Source organism: Homo sapiens, chromosome 19, assembly GCF_000001405.40.
Source record: "Homo sapiens chromosome 19, GRCh38.p14 Primary Assembly".
NCBI classification, from domain to species: domain Eukaryota; kingdom Metazoa; phylum Chordata; class Mammalia; order Primates; family Hominidae; genus Homo; species Homo sapiens.
The window spans coordinates 41,241,728-41,255,461 of NC_000019.10; the positions used below are offsets into that span (position 1 = coordinate 41,241,728).

A 13,734-nucleotide genomic window follows, 5' to 3' on the forward strand; every position below is an offset into this window, starting at 1 on the left:
AGCTACTTAGAAGCTGAGGCAGGAGATTTGCTTGAAACTGGGAGGCAGAGGTTGCAATGAGCTGAGACCGGGCCACTGCACTCCAGCCTGGGTGAAAGAGTGAGACCCTGTCTCAAAAAACAAACAAACAAAAAAAGAGACAAAGAAAACCCTTTTGTAGTCATTGCATTCTCTTCAAAAGATGTTCCTTAGTCCGCCCTCCTTGCACACGCTTCATGCACCATCCTACACTGCAAGGATCTTCTTCCCCACTCACCTGCTTATCTACACTCTAGTCCACCCTTCTTGCACAATCATCACATTTCTCACACTAACCTATGCTGCTTGAGATTTCTCCACACCCATCTCATGTTCATCTAGCCCTCTTGGCACACTCATAACGCGTTCCACACATCTCTCCCTCCCATTCCACACTCACTGCACACTCCTCAAATATCCATTCCACTCTTCTGTTTTTTTGGATCTTGGTGGCATAATATTTGGTAGCTTAAAGTAAGGAAAACTGCAAACGCCCAAACAGAGACTTGAACCCTGAACCCTCAGGTTAAAAGTCTGATGCTCTACCACCTGAACTATCCTGGCACTCTCTTTTTTTTTTTTTTTTTTTTTTTTTTGAGATGGAGTCTTGCTCTGTCACCCAGGATGGAGTGCAGTGGCCCAGTCTCGGCTCACTGAAACCTCCACCTCCCAGGTTCAAGCAATTCTCCTGCCTCAGCTCCCGAGTAGCTGGGATTGCAGGTGTGCACCACCACCCCAGCTAATTTTTGTATATATTTTGTTTAAGTAGAGACAGGGTTTCATCATGTCGGCCGGGCTGGTCTTGAACTCCTTGCCTCAAGTAACCCACCCGCCTTGGCCTCCCAAAGTGCTGGGATAACAGGCATGAGCCACCACACCTGGCCTCCATCCCACTCTTAACTCACCCATCCTACAACTTTCACACACTTCTGCTTTAACCTGCACTTGTATCACATCCATTGCATGCCCTGTCCAGCCCAGCCCATTCAGATATGTGAATGCATCCATCACACACCTCATCAAGTATGTGCACATCTTTGCCGAGGCCTTCTGCCTCCCTCCCACATCACCCCTTTGGGTCCCAGAGAGCTGGATCCAAGGCTTCATCCATGACCTGTTCCTCATACCCCCTGATAGTGAAGGAACCTTCAACTCCTGCCTTCTCGTGGCCCTGGTGGTATGTACTGCTAGGAGCAGTCGTGGCCGCTGCCTGTGTCCTCATCTTGGCTCTCTTCCTTGTCCACCGGCGAAAGAAGGAGACCCGTTATGGGTGAGTTGGAACCACATGGGGAGGCTGTGTGGCCTGGGATGGAGAGGCTGGAGGCAGGGAGGCCAGTGAGGAGGCTGGTGCAGGAGGAGTGATGACTAAGAATCAGAATGAGGGCAAGGGAAGCCAGGCGTGGTGGCTCACGCCTGTAATCCCAGCACTTTGGGAGGCTGAAGCAGGTGGATCACTTGAGGTCAGGAGTTTGAGACCAGCCTGGCCAACATGGCGAAACCCTGTCTCTACTGAAAAATGCAAAAATTAGCGGGAAGTGTAGGCACACGCCTGTGGTCCCAGCTACTTGGGAGGCTGAGGCACGATAATCACTTGAACCCGGGAGATGGAGGCTACAGTGAGCTGAGATCGCATCACTGCACTCCAGCCTGGGTGACAGAGTGAGATCCTGTTTTCAAAAAAAAGAATGAGGGCAAGGGGGTGTGTGGAATGAATGGAAGGCAGAAGGTAGCTGCCCAAGGCATGCTCAGCAAATGTTAGCACAGAGGGCAGGCAGGGCTTGAGGCTGAGATGGTGCTTGCTCAACTGCTGGTTGAGTAGGGGGTTCCACATGGTTTTTCCCTGCCCTCACCTACTCCCCCTCCCCCCCAGAGAAGTGTTTGAACCAACAGTGGAAAGAGGTGAACTGGTAGTCAGGTACCGCGTGCGCAAGTCCTACAGTCGTCGGACCACTGAAGCTACCTGTAAGTGAACCCTATGCCCCACTGCCCTGGCCTGGATCTAAAGGCTGTAGAGAATCTGGCCTGCTGGGCTTCTGTACATGTGTGAGCCAAAAGTTTCTAAAGGCCTTGGGATACTAGAATGTCAGAACCACAGACCCTAGAAATAACAGATTTGTGGAACCACAAAGAACTTTCAAGGAATAGAATCTTAGACACAGTAAATCTTAGAAACACCAAGGCTGGGTGTGGTGGCTCATGCCTGTAATCCTAGCGCTTCGGGGGGCCGAGGTGGGAGGATCACTTGAGCCCAGGAGTTCGAGAACAGCCTGGGCAGCATGGTGAAACCCTGTCTCTACAAAAAAAAAAAATTAGCCAGGTATGGTGGTGTGCCCCTGTACTCCCTGCTACTCGGGAGGCTGAGGTAGGAGGATCACCTGAGCCCAGGGAGGTCAAGGCTGCAGTAAGCCGTGATCACACCACTGCACTCCAGCCTGGGTGACAGAGCAAGACCCTGTCTCAAAAAAGAAAAAAAAATAAAAGAAAGAAAAGAAACACCAAACCTCAGAGCCATTGGATCTTAGAAGATGTAATGATGATGATAATGATGAAGATAATGACAAGAAGAAAATGATGATGATGATGAAATAATGTTGAGATTAGATGGTGATGATGTGATAAAAATCACAGGCAACCCTAGCACTACCTATGTGGCAGGCTCTGTTCTAAGCATTCTACATGTATCTCCTCGTTTAACCCTCAGAGCAACCCAAGGACACGGGTTTCTTTTTTCTTTTTTTTTCTTTTTTTTTTTGAGACAGAGTCTCGCTCTGTTGCCCAGGCTGGAGCACAGTGGCACAATCTCAGCTCACTGCAACCTTCACCTCCCAGGTTCAAGTGATTCTTATGCCTCGGCCTCCCGAATAGCTGGGATTACAAGTGCATGGCACCACATCTGGCTAATTTTTGCATTTTTAGTAAAGATGGGGTTTTACTAACCCTGTCTTTGTTAGCCAGGCTGGTCTTGGAACTCCTGGCCTCAAGTGATCAACCTGCCTTGGCCTCCCAAAGTGCTGGGATAACAGGCGTGAGCCACCACGCCCAGCCAGAGGTGGGTTTCTTATCACCTTCACTTCACAGATGAGGAAGCTGTGGCATAGAGTGGTTAAGTCACTTGCCCAAGGCCACACAGCTTGTAAATTGGATAGCTGGGATTTGAACCCAGGTACTTTTGCTCTGAAGTCTATACTATTTTTTTTTTTTTTTTGATAGAATCTTGCTCTGTCACCCAGGATGGAGTGCAGTGGCTTGATCTTGGCTCACTGCAACCTCCGCCTCCTGGATTCAAGCGACTCTCCTGCTTCAGCCTCTCAAGTAGCTGGGACTACAGGCACATGCCACAACGCCTGGCTAATTTTTGTAGTTTTAATAGAGACAAGGTTTCACCATATTGGCCAGGCTGGTCTCGACCTCCTGAACCCGTGCCTCCCAAAGTGCTGGGATTACAGGTGTGAGCCACCACGCCTGGCCTGAAGTCTATACTCTGAACTGCCACACTCTACTACCTCTTGGAATTATAAATTGGTAGAGAGATAGAATCGATCTTGGCCTGAAAAATTATATGCATGTACTCTACACCCTTATACTTTTGAAATCATAAAATCTTAGAACTATAGACTCTCCATTAGAAGGCTGGAAAGCCATGCAAGGTCTCAGCCGAGGAGGGGATCTCAGAGGCCCAGTCAAATCTGTTCTTTCGGCTGGGTGCAGTGGCTCACGCCTGTAATCTCAACACTTTGGGAGGCCCAGGCGGGCAGACACTTGAGGTCAGGAGTTCGAGACCAGCCTGGCCAACATGGCGAGACCCTGTCTCTACTAAAAATACAAAAATTAGCCAGATGTAATCTGTAATCCCAGCTACTTGGGAGGCTGAGGCAGGAGAATCTCTTGAACCTGGGAGGCGGAGGTTGCAGTGAGCCGAGATCGTGCCACTGCACTTCAGCCTGGGTGATAGAGCAAGACACCGTCTCAAAAAAAAAAAAAAAAAAAAGGAATCTCATCTTTCCAGTTAGGGAAACTGAAATCCAGAAAGAAAATGGAAGAGCTAGGTCTCTTCCTAGCATACAGCGAGAAAGCCGCCAGGGCCCCAGGGGGATGTTTGGAAAGGGCTGGGAAAGACATTTATTTAAGAAGAGAAGGAAGAAGCAACGATGTCCCAGTGATTTAACTGAGTAACATACAGCATCCATTCTCAGGGTGTGAGCCTGGTCCCCTGTGGTCCCTGAGACCTTTGCAGGGGGCCCATAAGGTCAAATCTATTTTCATACTATTACCAAGACATTATTTGCCCTTTTGCTTTCTCATTCTCTCATTAGCATTCAGCGCAGTTTTCCAGAGGCTCCCTGACGTGGGATGATGTCATCCAACACTCTGACAGCTGATGGACCTTGTGCTTGTATATTCTTGTTTTAAAAATTTATCAGGCTGGGCATAGTGGCACATGCCTGTAATCCCACCACTTTGGGAGGCCAAGGTGGGCAAATTGCTTGAGGTCAGGAGTTTGAGACCAGCCTGACCAACATGGTGAAACCCCATTTCTACTAAAATACAAAAATTAGCTGGGTGTGGTGGTGCATGCCTGTAATCCTAGCTACTTGGGAGGCTGAGGAAAGAGAATCGCTTGAACCCGGGAGGCGGATGTTGCAGCAAGCTGAGGTTGTACCACTGGACTTCAGCCTGGGCAACAGAGTGAGACTGTCTCAAAAAAAAAAAAAATTAAATAAACCTGATAGGTTTTCTTTTGAGGCCAGGAGTTTGAAACCAGTGTGGGCAACATGGCAAAACCCCATCTCTATTTAAAAAAAAAAAAAGAAACACAAAAATTTGCCAGGTGTGGTGGTGTACACCTATAATTCCAGCTGCTCAGGAGGGTGAGGCAGGGGAATCACTTGAACCTGGGAGGCGGAAGTTGCAGTGAGCTGAGATTATGCTACTGCACTCTAGCCTAGGCAACAGAGCGAGACTCGGTTTCAAAAAAAATTTTTTTATTTTTTTAGAGATGGGGTCTGGCTATGTTGCCCAGGCTGATCTCCAACTCCAGGCCTCAACTGGTCCTCCTTCCTTGGCCTCCCAAGTTGCTGGGTGAACCACTGTGAACCACTGTGCCCAGCTAGTTTTATTTTTGAATACAGAAATATTGATATATATGTAACATAAACAAAAGCTCTTTCTAGTCCTCAATAATTCTAACAATGTAAAGGTGTCCTGATGTCAATTTGTTTGAGAATGATTATATAACAAAGAAAATGGATAAATTACAATTACACTCAACAACTAAATTAAAACTATTTCATAGACATCATGTTGAGTGAAAGAAGCCAGACACAAAAGAGAATATACTATGTGATTCCATTTTTATAATATTTCAAAACTAATCGATTGTAACAGAAATCAAGAAAGTGGCTACCCCAGGAGGGCAGGTCATGTTCTGTTCTTGGCCTGAGTGCTAGTTACACATTTGTGTTTGATTTGTGAAAATCCACTGAGTTGGCCAGGCGTGGTGGCTCACGCTTGTAATCCCAACACTTTGGGAGGCCAAGGTGGGCAGATCACCTGAGGTCGGGAGTTCCAGACCAGCCTGACCAACATGGAGAAACCCCGTCTCTACTAAAAATACAAAATTAGCTGGGCGTAGTGGCACATGCCTGTACTTGGGAGGCTGAGGCAGGAGAATCGCTTGAACCTGAGAGGCGGAGGTTGCGGTGAGCCGAGATTGCGCCATCGCACTCCAGCCTGGGCAACAGGAACGAAACTCCATCTCAAAAAAAAAAAGAAAAGAAAATCCACTGAGTTGCTTACTTATGATTTGTGCAGATTATACTTCAATAAAAAGAAATATTTTTGTGTGTGTGTTTTGTTTGAGATGGGGTCTTGCTCTGTCACCCAGGCTGGGGTGCAGTGGCATGAGCTCAGCTTACTGCAGCCTCCACCCCTGGGCTCAAGTGATCCTCCAACCTCAGCCTCCTGAGTAGCTGGGACTATAGGCGCGTACCACCACACATGGCTAGCTTTTGTATTTTTTTGTAGAGACGGGGATTCGCCATGTTGCCCAGGCTGGTTTTGAATTCCTGGACTCAAGTGATCCACCGGCCTCTGCCTCCCAAAGTGCTGCGATTACAGGCATGAGCCACTGCATCCAGCAAAAAGAAATATTTTTATTTTATTTTATTTTATTTTATTTTATTTTATTTTATTTTTGAGACGGAGTCTTGCCCTGTCACCCAGGCTGGAGTGAAGTGGTGCGATCTCAGCTCATTGCAACCTCTGTCTCTTGGGTTCAAGTGATTTTCCTGCCTCAGCCTCCCCAGTAGCTGGGACTACAGGCATGTGCCACCACACACGGCTAATTTTTGTATTTTTTTGTAGAGACAGAGATTCGCCATGTTGCCCAGGCTGGTCTTGAACTCCTGGACTCAAGTGATCCACCTGCCTCTGCCTCCCAGAGTGCTGGGATTACAGGCGTAAGCCACTGTGCCCAGCAAAAGAAATATTTTTAACAACTGGTACAGCAGGGCACTGACCCATCAGGGTGCCCACTGGAGCAAGAGCGTGGCCAGGCTTTACCCCTTGAGTTCCCTTTGAGGGAAGGTTCAGGGGGTCCAGAGGAGGAGCTGGGGTGGAAGTAGAGGGGTGCTCAGGGCAGTTGCTAATTTTAAATCAGTGCAGAAGTATGTCAGTGTTTCAACAATGGATCTATCCCTACTGGTGGGTGAATGTCACCTGAATGTCAGCCCTGCTCCATGACTCTGTCCACCCCAACCTTGCATGCAGTGAACAGCCTGGGCATCAGTGAAGAGCTGAAGGAGAAGCTGCGGGATGTGATGGTGGACCGGCACAAGGTGGCCCTGGGGAAGACTCTGGGAGAGGGTGAGTCCCCCGGCAGCATACACACATCCTTCTGAACTTCTGAGATCCTGCACTTCCACACTCCCACCCAACTATAGGAAATACAGTCCCCACGGGCCCTCTGAGGTCAGTGTCTCCCTCTGGCCCCCCACAGGAGAGTTTGGAGCTGTGATGGAAGGCCAGCTCAACCAGGACGACTCCATCCTCAAGGTGGCTGTGAAGACGATGAAGAGTGAGTTACGTGCACATGTGTAGGACCCCCAGCTCCTTCCCTATGCCCCTGAGACAGAAGAGAGCAAGCAAGTTAGCCATAGCTTAGAACTTCTGGTGTTTCCAGATAGGCAATGGAGCCCCTGCCAGGTACCTCAATAGAAGGAATTGAATATGGGGAGATTAGTACAAAGGTGGGAGACGGGTTGAAGGAACAACTGGGGGCAGGGAGGGAAACCAGAGATGAGCAGCAGCAGGAAGTCACTTCCCCCGCTAGGCCTGAAGGGTAGAGGGAGCAAGTGGTGTTACCAGAATCCACAGCTAGGGACACCAGGCAGGAGCTGGTATCACAGAGTTAGAGGCTGCTCTGTGGGAGCTAAAAACCCAGAATAGCACTTTGGGAGGCCGAGGCAGCAGATCGCTTGAGTCCAGGAGTTTGAGACCAGCCTAGGCAATATGGTGAAACCACATGTCTATGAAAAAAAAAATAATAATAGTAACAAAAAATTAGCTGGGCATGGTGGCACACGCCTGTAGTCCCAGCTACTTGGGACACTGAGGTGGGAGAATCACTTGAGTCTGTGCGGCAGAGGTTGCAGTCAGCTATGATCATGCCACTGCACTCCAATCTGGGTGACAGAGTGAGACTTTGTCTTAAAAAAATAAAACACACATGGCTGGGCGTGGTGGCTCACGTCTGTAATCCCAGCACTTTGGGAGGCCAAGGCGGGTGGATCACATGAGGTCAGGAGTTCGAGACTGGCCTGATCTGCATAGCGAAACCCCACCTCTACTAAAAATACAAAAATTAGCCAGGCGTGGTGGCAGGCACCTGTAATCCCAGCTACTCGGGAGGCTGAGGCAGGAGAATCGCTTGAACCTCACAGGCGGAGATTGCAGTGAGCCGAGATCGTGCCACTGCCCTCCAGCCTGGGCGACAGAGCAAGACTCCGTCTGAAAAAAAAAAAAAATTAAAACACACACACGCACACATGGGCGACACAACCACCACCAAGGGAATACCAGAAGCAGAGAGAGGGTGAAATACCCTGGCTTCTCCCTTTCTCCCCGCTACCTGCCAGTCTCCCATAAGGGCCTACCTCCCATTGGCAAATCCCAAGAGGAAACCACTAGGAAAGGGAGCCTGGGAAATGTAGTTTTCAGGGGCCGGCCCACTGTGATACATAGTGGAGCAGGAGAAGCTCTAGAATGAGGCATACCTGGCTGAATCATTTACCAGCTATGCGATCTCAGGCAAATGACTTTCCCTCTCTGAGCCTCCCACCTGTCATCTGGAAAAAAGGACCCTAATGTCCCCACCTTCCAAAGCTGTTTTGAGGCAAAGCACTTCATGCTGAGGGTGGCAAGTAGGACATGCTTGTTAATGTGGAGTAGGACTATATTATTTCCATTATCAGAGAGGGCAGGAGCCATTTCAGGGTTACACAGCACAGGAAGTCCAGGGCTAAGTTCTTCACACACAGGGAAGGAGAAGCATAGGGCATTCAGATTGGGGCTGGTGGTGAATAGAGAATGATCCTTTCTGAATTACAGGGCTTAAAAGCTTGGGCTATGAAGTCATTACCCACTCATTCGTTCATTATGGAGCACCTCCTGTGTACCAGGTTATTTTGTTTGTTTTGCTCTGTTTTGTTTTGTTTTGAGGAGGAGTCTCACTCTGCTGTCCAGGCTGGAGTGCAGTGGCATGACCTCAGCTAACTACTACCTCTGCCTCCCAGGTTCAAGCGATTCTTCTGCCTCAGCCTCCTGAGTAACTGGGACTACAGGTGTGCGCCACCACGCCCAGCTAATTTTTGTGTTTTTAGTAGAGACGGGGTTTCACCATGTTGGCCAGGATGGTCTCTATCTCTTGACCTCATGATCCACCTGCCTCGGCATCCCAAAGTGCTGGGATTACAGGTGTGAGCCACCACACCCAGCCTACGTTTTTTGTTTTTTGAGACAGAGTCTTGCTCGTTGCCCATGCTGGAGAGCAGTGGCAGGATCACAGCTCACTGTAGTCTCAACCTCTGAGGCTCAAGCGATCCTCCCCACTCAGCCTCCCACTGGTTATAGTCTTGGCCTGGGTCTGAATCTCAGCCGTGCAACCTTGGGCAAGTCATTTTGCCTCTGTGAGCCACAGTGTCCTGAACTGTTAAATGGGATGATACTTGTTTGGGTCCCCAGGGCAGGTAGGGAAGTGCTGGGAAGCAGCCTGGGCAGTTGTGAGCAGGTGGACCCTGGAGCCAGACTGCCCGGGTTTGAGATCTGCCTCTTCCACCTCCAAGCTGTGTGTTCCCTTAGGCAGACTCCTAACCTTTTTGTGCCTTGCTTTCTTCATCTTTAAAATAGAGATAGGCCAGGGACAGTGGCTCATGCCTGTAATCCCAGTGCTTTGGGAGGCCGAGGTGGGAGGATCACTTGAGGCTGGGAGTTTGAGACCAGCCTGGACAACATAGCAAGACTCCCTCTCAAAAAATTGGCTGGGCATGGTGGCTCACACTTGAAATCCTAGCACTTTGGGAGGCCAAGGCAGGCAGATCACTTGAGGTGGGGAGTTTGAGACCAGCCTGGCCAACATGGTGAAACCCCGTTTCTACTAAAAATACAAAAATTAGCTGGGCATGGTGGTGCATGCCTGTAATCCCAGCTACTCGGGAGGCTGAGGTACGAGAATCTCTTGAACTGGGGAGGCAGAGGTTGCAGTGAGCCAAGATTGCGCCATTGCACTCAAGCCTGGGGGACAAGGGCGAAACTCCATCTCAAAAAAAAAAAAAAAATTATCCGGGATGGTGGTGCGTGCCTGTGGTCCCAGCTACTCAGGAAGGCAAGCCTAGGAGTTCGAGCCTAACCTCCAGTGAGCTATGTTTGCTGTGATTGCATCCATCCTGGGTGACAGCGCAAGACCCTGTCTCAAAAAATAAAAATAAAAAACAAAAACAAAAACAAAACAAAACAAAACAAAAAACCAATAAAATGGGAATGATAATAGTAGCACCTGAGAAGATTAAATGAGTTAATATATATAAAGTTGGCCAAGCGCAGTGGCTGACGCCTGTAATCCTAGCACTTTGGGAGGCCGAGGCGGGCAGATCGTGAGGTCAGGAGATCGAAACCATCCTGGCTAACAAGGTGAAACCCCGTCTCTACTAAAAATACAAAAAATTAGCCGGGTGTGGTGGCACACGCCTGTAGTCCCAGCTACTCAGGAGGCTGAGGCAGGAGAATTGCTTGAACCCGAGAGGCGGAGGTTGCAGTGACCCGAGATCAAACCACTGCACTCCAGCCTGGACAACAGAGTGAGACTCCATCTAAAAAAAAAAAAAAAAAGAAAATATATATTTTATATATATATATATATTATATACACACACACAGACACACACACATACACATATCACATATAAAGTGCTGAGTATGGTGCCTGGTACTTACTAATCATGTTTGATGAAGATGAGTGATGATGATGATGATGATGATGATGGAGTGGAGGTGGAGGGAGAGTCCTCCCTCTCCTCCCCTCCTCCTCACGACCTTTCTCTCTCCCTCAAGTTGCCATCTGCACGAGGTCAGAGCTGGAGGATTTCCTGAGTGAAGCGGTCTGCATGAAGGAATTTGACCATCCCAACGTCATGAGGCTCATCGGTGAGAGAGGGGCAGATTCAAGGGGTCTACAAGCCCCATGGGGGCCATAGCAGAGGGAAGAGCCCTGCTTCTGGCCCTGGGAAGATCAAACTTCCAGGCTTCCTGCTCCCCGCTCCTTCAGGGTCAGCAGGCTTCCCCCTCCTAGTCTCCCTCAGCTTGGAATGTGACCTCTGATCATTCCCAGAAATAGCTGAGGTCCCCAGGAGGGCTCCGGAAACGTCCCTGGGAACTCTGCTGGAAACAGCTTCTCTGCAGCTTGGTCCTTGCCACTGCCACTACCCCCAAACAATATGGTGGCCAGATTGGATGGGTAGTGAGAAGGAGAGGCTGGAGGCTGGCTGGTGGGGGGCTTGGCTTCCCCTTCTGCCCAGCAGGAGTGACAGGGCTACCTGGGGGGCTCAGGTGTCTGTTTCCAGGGTTCTGAACGAGAGAGCTTCCCAGCACCTGTGGTCATCTTACCTTTCATGAAACATGGAGACCTACACAGCTTCCTCCTCTATTCCCGGCTCGGGGACCAGCCAGTGGTAAGGGGCGTTTAATCATTCAGTCTACAAATATTAACTGAGCATCTATCAGGTACCCAGTGCTGCTCAGACCCTGGGAAGACCACGGTGACCAGGAGCTTGCTCTCCTGGAGCATTTCTTCCAGCAGGGGAGGGGCGGATGATAAACAAGCTAATAAATACCTAAGCGAGATGATTTAAATGTTTAAGTGCTAGGAAGGAAATACAGTAGGATGGAAGATAAGGAGGCCAGGCAGTGAATTTGGGTGGACGTGGAAGATCTTGCCGAGGAGGTGACCGTGAAGGAGTTGGGGCTGGGGAGATGTCTGGAGATCTGGGCAGGAAGCGACCCCAACAGAGCGCACAGCATAGGCAAAGGCTCGGAGGTGGGAATGATCATCGTTTGTCTGAAGACCAGACAGGAGTCTGGTGGGAGTGTCAGTCAAGGGCAAGAACATAGGCAATCAAGTCCAAGAGGAAGGCTGGAGCAAGTTTATAGGACCTTGCAGGCCATGGAGAGGGGTTGGGTTGAATTGTCAGGGCCATGGGAAACCACTGCGGGCAGAGCTAGGCTTGCACAGAGGGATGGAGGGAGGAGGGATCGCATCAAGGACTCTGTTGACCTCTCCTCCCACCTGCCTTGGCTCCCCAGTACCTGCCCACTCAGATGCTAGTGAAGTTCATGGCAGACATCGCCAGTGGCATGGAGTATCTGAGTACCAAGAGATTCATACACCGGGACCTGGCGGCCAGGAACTGCATGTGAGTGCCTTTCAGGGACCCCCCCCCCCCAACTGCTCCTGCACTCCCTGAGGGAGTTCCCTCCCTCCTTCTTAGGATGGAAGCAGGGCTAGACACCCGCTGAGGGCAGGTCAGAACTCAGGACCAGGAAAGTCAGTAAGGGGGTCTGGGAAGGCTTCCTGGAGGAGGTGAGTCCTGAACTGAGATCTGGAAGGAGCATTTGGATGCGGAGAGGGAAGAGACCAGAAGGTGGGCTCAGTGCACAGCATGAGGTGAGCAAAGGGGCTGAGGTGACCGATGGGGGTGGGGACACGTGAGCTGCATCTCTGTCCCACTCCATGCTGGGTGTCTTGCCTGGGGCTGCCCTTTGGAAGCGGCCACACTGGATAAGAAAATCAAACTCCCCACCAATGGACAAGCAGAAAATATGCCAGATGGGGTGCAGTGGCTCACGCCTGTAATCCCAGCACTTTGGGAGTCCGAGGCGGGTGGATCACTTGAGGCCAGGAGTTCGAGACCAGCCTTGGTGAAACCCCCTGTCTACTAAAAGTACAAAATTCAGCCTGGTGCGGTGGTGTGCGCCTGTAATCCCAACACGAGAATTGCTTGAACCCAGGAGGCGGAGGTTGCAATGAGCCGAGATCGCATCACTGCACTCCAGCCTGGGCGACAGAGCAAGACTCTGTCTCAAAAAAAAAAAAAAAAAGAAAGAAAGAAAGAAAGAAAGAAAAAAGAAAATAGTAACCTGTAGTCCCAGCCATTCCCAAGGCTTAGGTGAGAGGATTGCTTGAGCCTCGAGACCAGCCTGGGTAACAACAACGAGACACCATCTCAAAAAAAAAGAAAAAAAGAAAAGAAAGAACAAAAAATCCCCCAAAAGCCAGAATAGAGGGTAAGGGGAGGGTAGAAGGTGGAGGGAATGGAACCACAGAGTTAGAATATTAGTCTTGGCCAGGCGCAGTGGCTCACATCTATAATCCCAGCCCTTTGGGAGGCTGAGGCAGGAGGATCACTTGTACCCAGGAGTTCAAGACCAGCCTGGGCAACATAGTGAATCCTGTCTTTACAAAAAATAAATTAGCTGGGCATGGTGGTGTATACCTGTGGTTCCAGCTACTTGGGAGGCTGAGGTGGAAGGATTGCTAGAGCCCAGGAGGTTGAGGCTGAAGTCAGCCATGATGGTATCACTTCACTACTGCCTGGGCAACAGGGCAAGATCCCATCTAAAAAAAAATTGATGTATATTTTACATACACTAAAATATACACATGCAGCTCAGCTCGATGAATTTTTATGGGTATAGACCCATGTAACCACTAGATGAAGGTAAAGAATATTTCTTAGCCCCAGCAGGCTCCTTCATGCCTCTTCGTCTTCCCAATCACTACCGCCAAGTGGTACCCACTATCCTGACTTCTCAGTGCTAGTTTAGCCTGTTCTGAAAAGTCATACAAATGGGATCATGCAGTTTGTACTGCTTTGTGTCTGGCTTCTATGGCTCAGCATGATGTTTTTGAGATGGATCTGTGTAGGGGTAGTTTGCTCTTTTTCTTTGCTGTGTGGTATGGTATTCCATCATATGAATGTCCTGTGGATTTTCTTTTCTTTTTTTCTCTTTCTTTCTTTTTCTTTCTTTTCTTTCTTTTTCTCTCTGTCCTTTCTTCTTTCTTTTCTTTCTCTTTCTCTCTCTTTATCTCCTTCCTTCCTTCCTTCCCTCCCTCCCTCTCTCTTTCCCTTTCTTTCCCTTTTTTTCTTTCTTTTCTTTTTTGTTTTG

The 13,734-nt window shown here is 49.4% G+C and overlaps 1 protein-coding gene and 1 pseudogene across 3 annotated transcripts in view; one reads left to right on the forward strand and one right to left on the reverse strand.

The window, feature by feature from the left end:
• AXL (AXL receptor tyrosine kinase) overlaps positions 1-13,734 on the forward strand; it is a 42,544-nt gene that overhangs the window by 22,505 nt on the left and 6,305 nt on the right. For all 3 annotated transcript variants that reach the window (NM_021913.5, NM_001699.6, NM_001278599.2), the window contains 7 exons: positions 1,156-1,288; positions 1,889-1,980; positions 6,787-6,882; positions 7,016-7,093; positions 10,624-10,716; positions 11,119-11,240; positions 11,872-11,981. In NM_021913.5, the coding sequence (NP_068713.2) occupies positions 1,156-1,288; positions 1,889-1,980; positions 6,787-6,882; positions 7,016-7,093; positions 10,624-10,716; positions 11,119-11,240; positions 11,872-11,981 (724 nt within the window). The remainder of the gene's footprint in view (positions 1-1,155; positions 1,289-1,888; positions 1,981-6,786; positions 6,883-7,015; positions 7,094-10,623; positions 10,717-11,118; positions 11,241-11,871; positions 11,982-13,734) is intronic.
• On the reverse strand, positions 510-582 carry TRK-TTT10-1 (tRNA-Lys (anticodon TTT) 10-1; annotated as a pseudogene).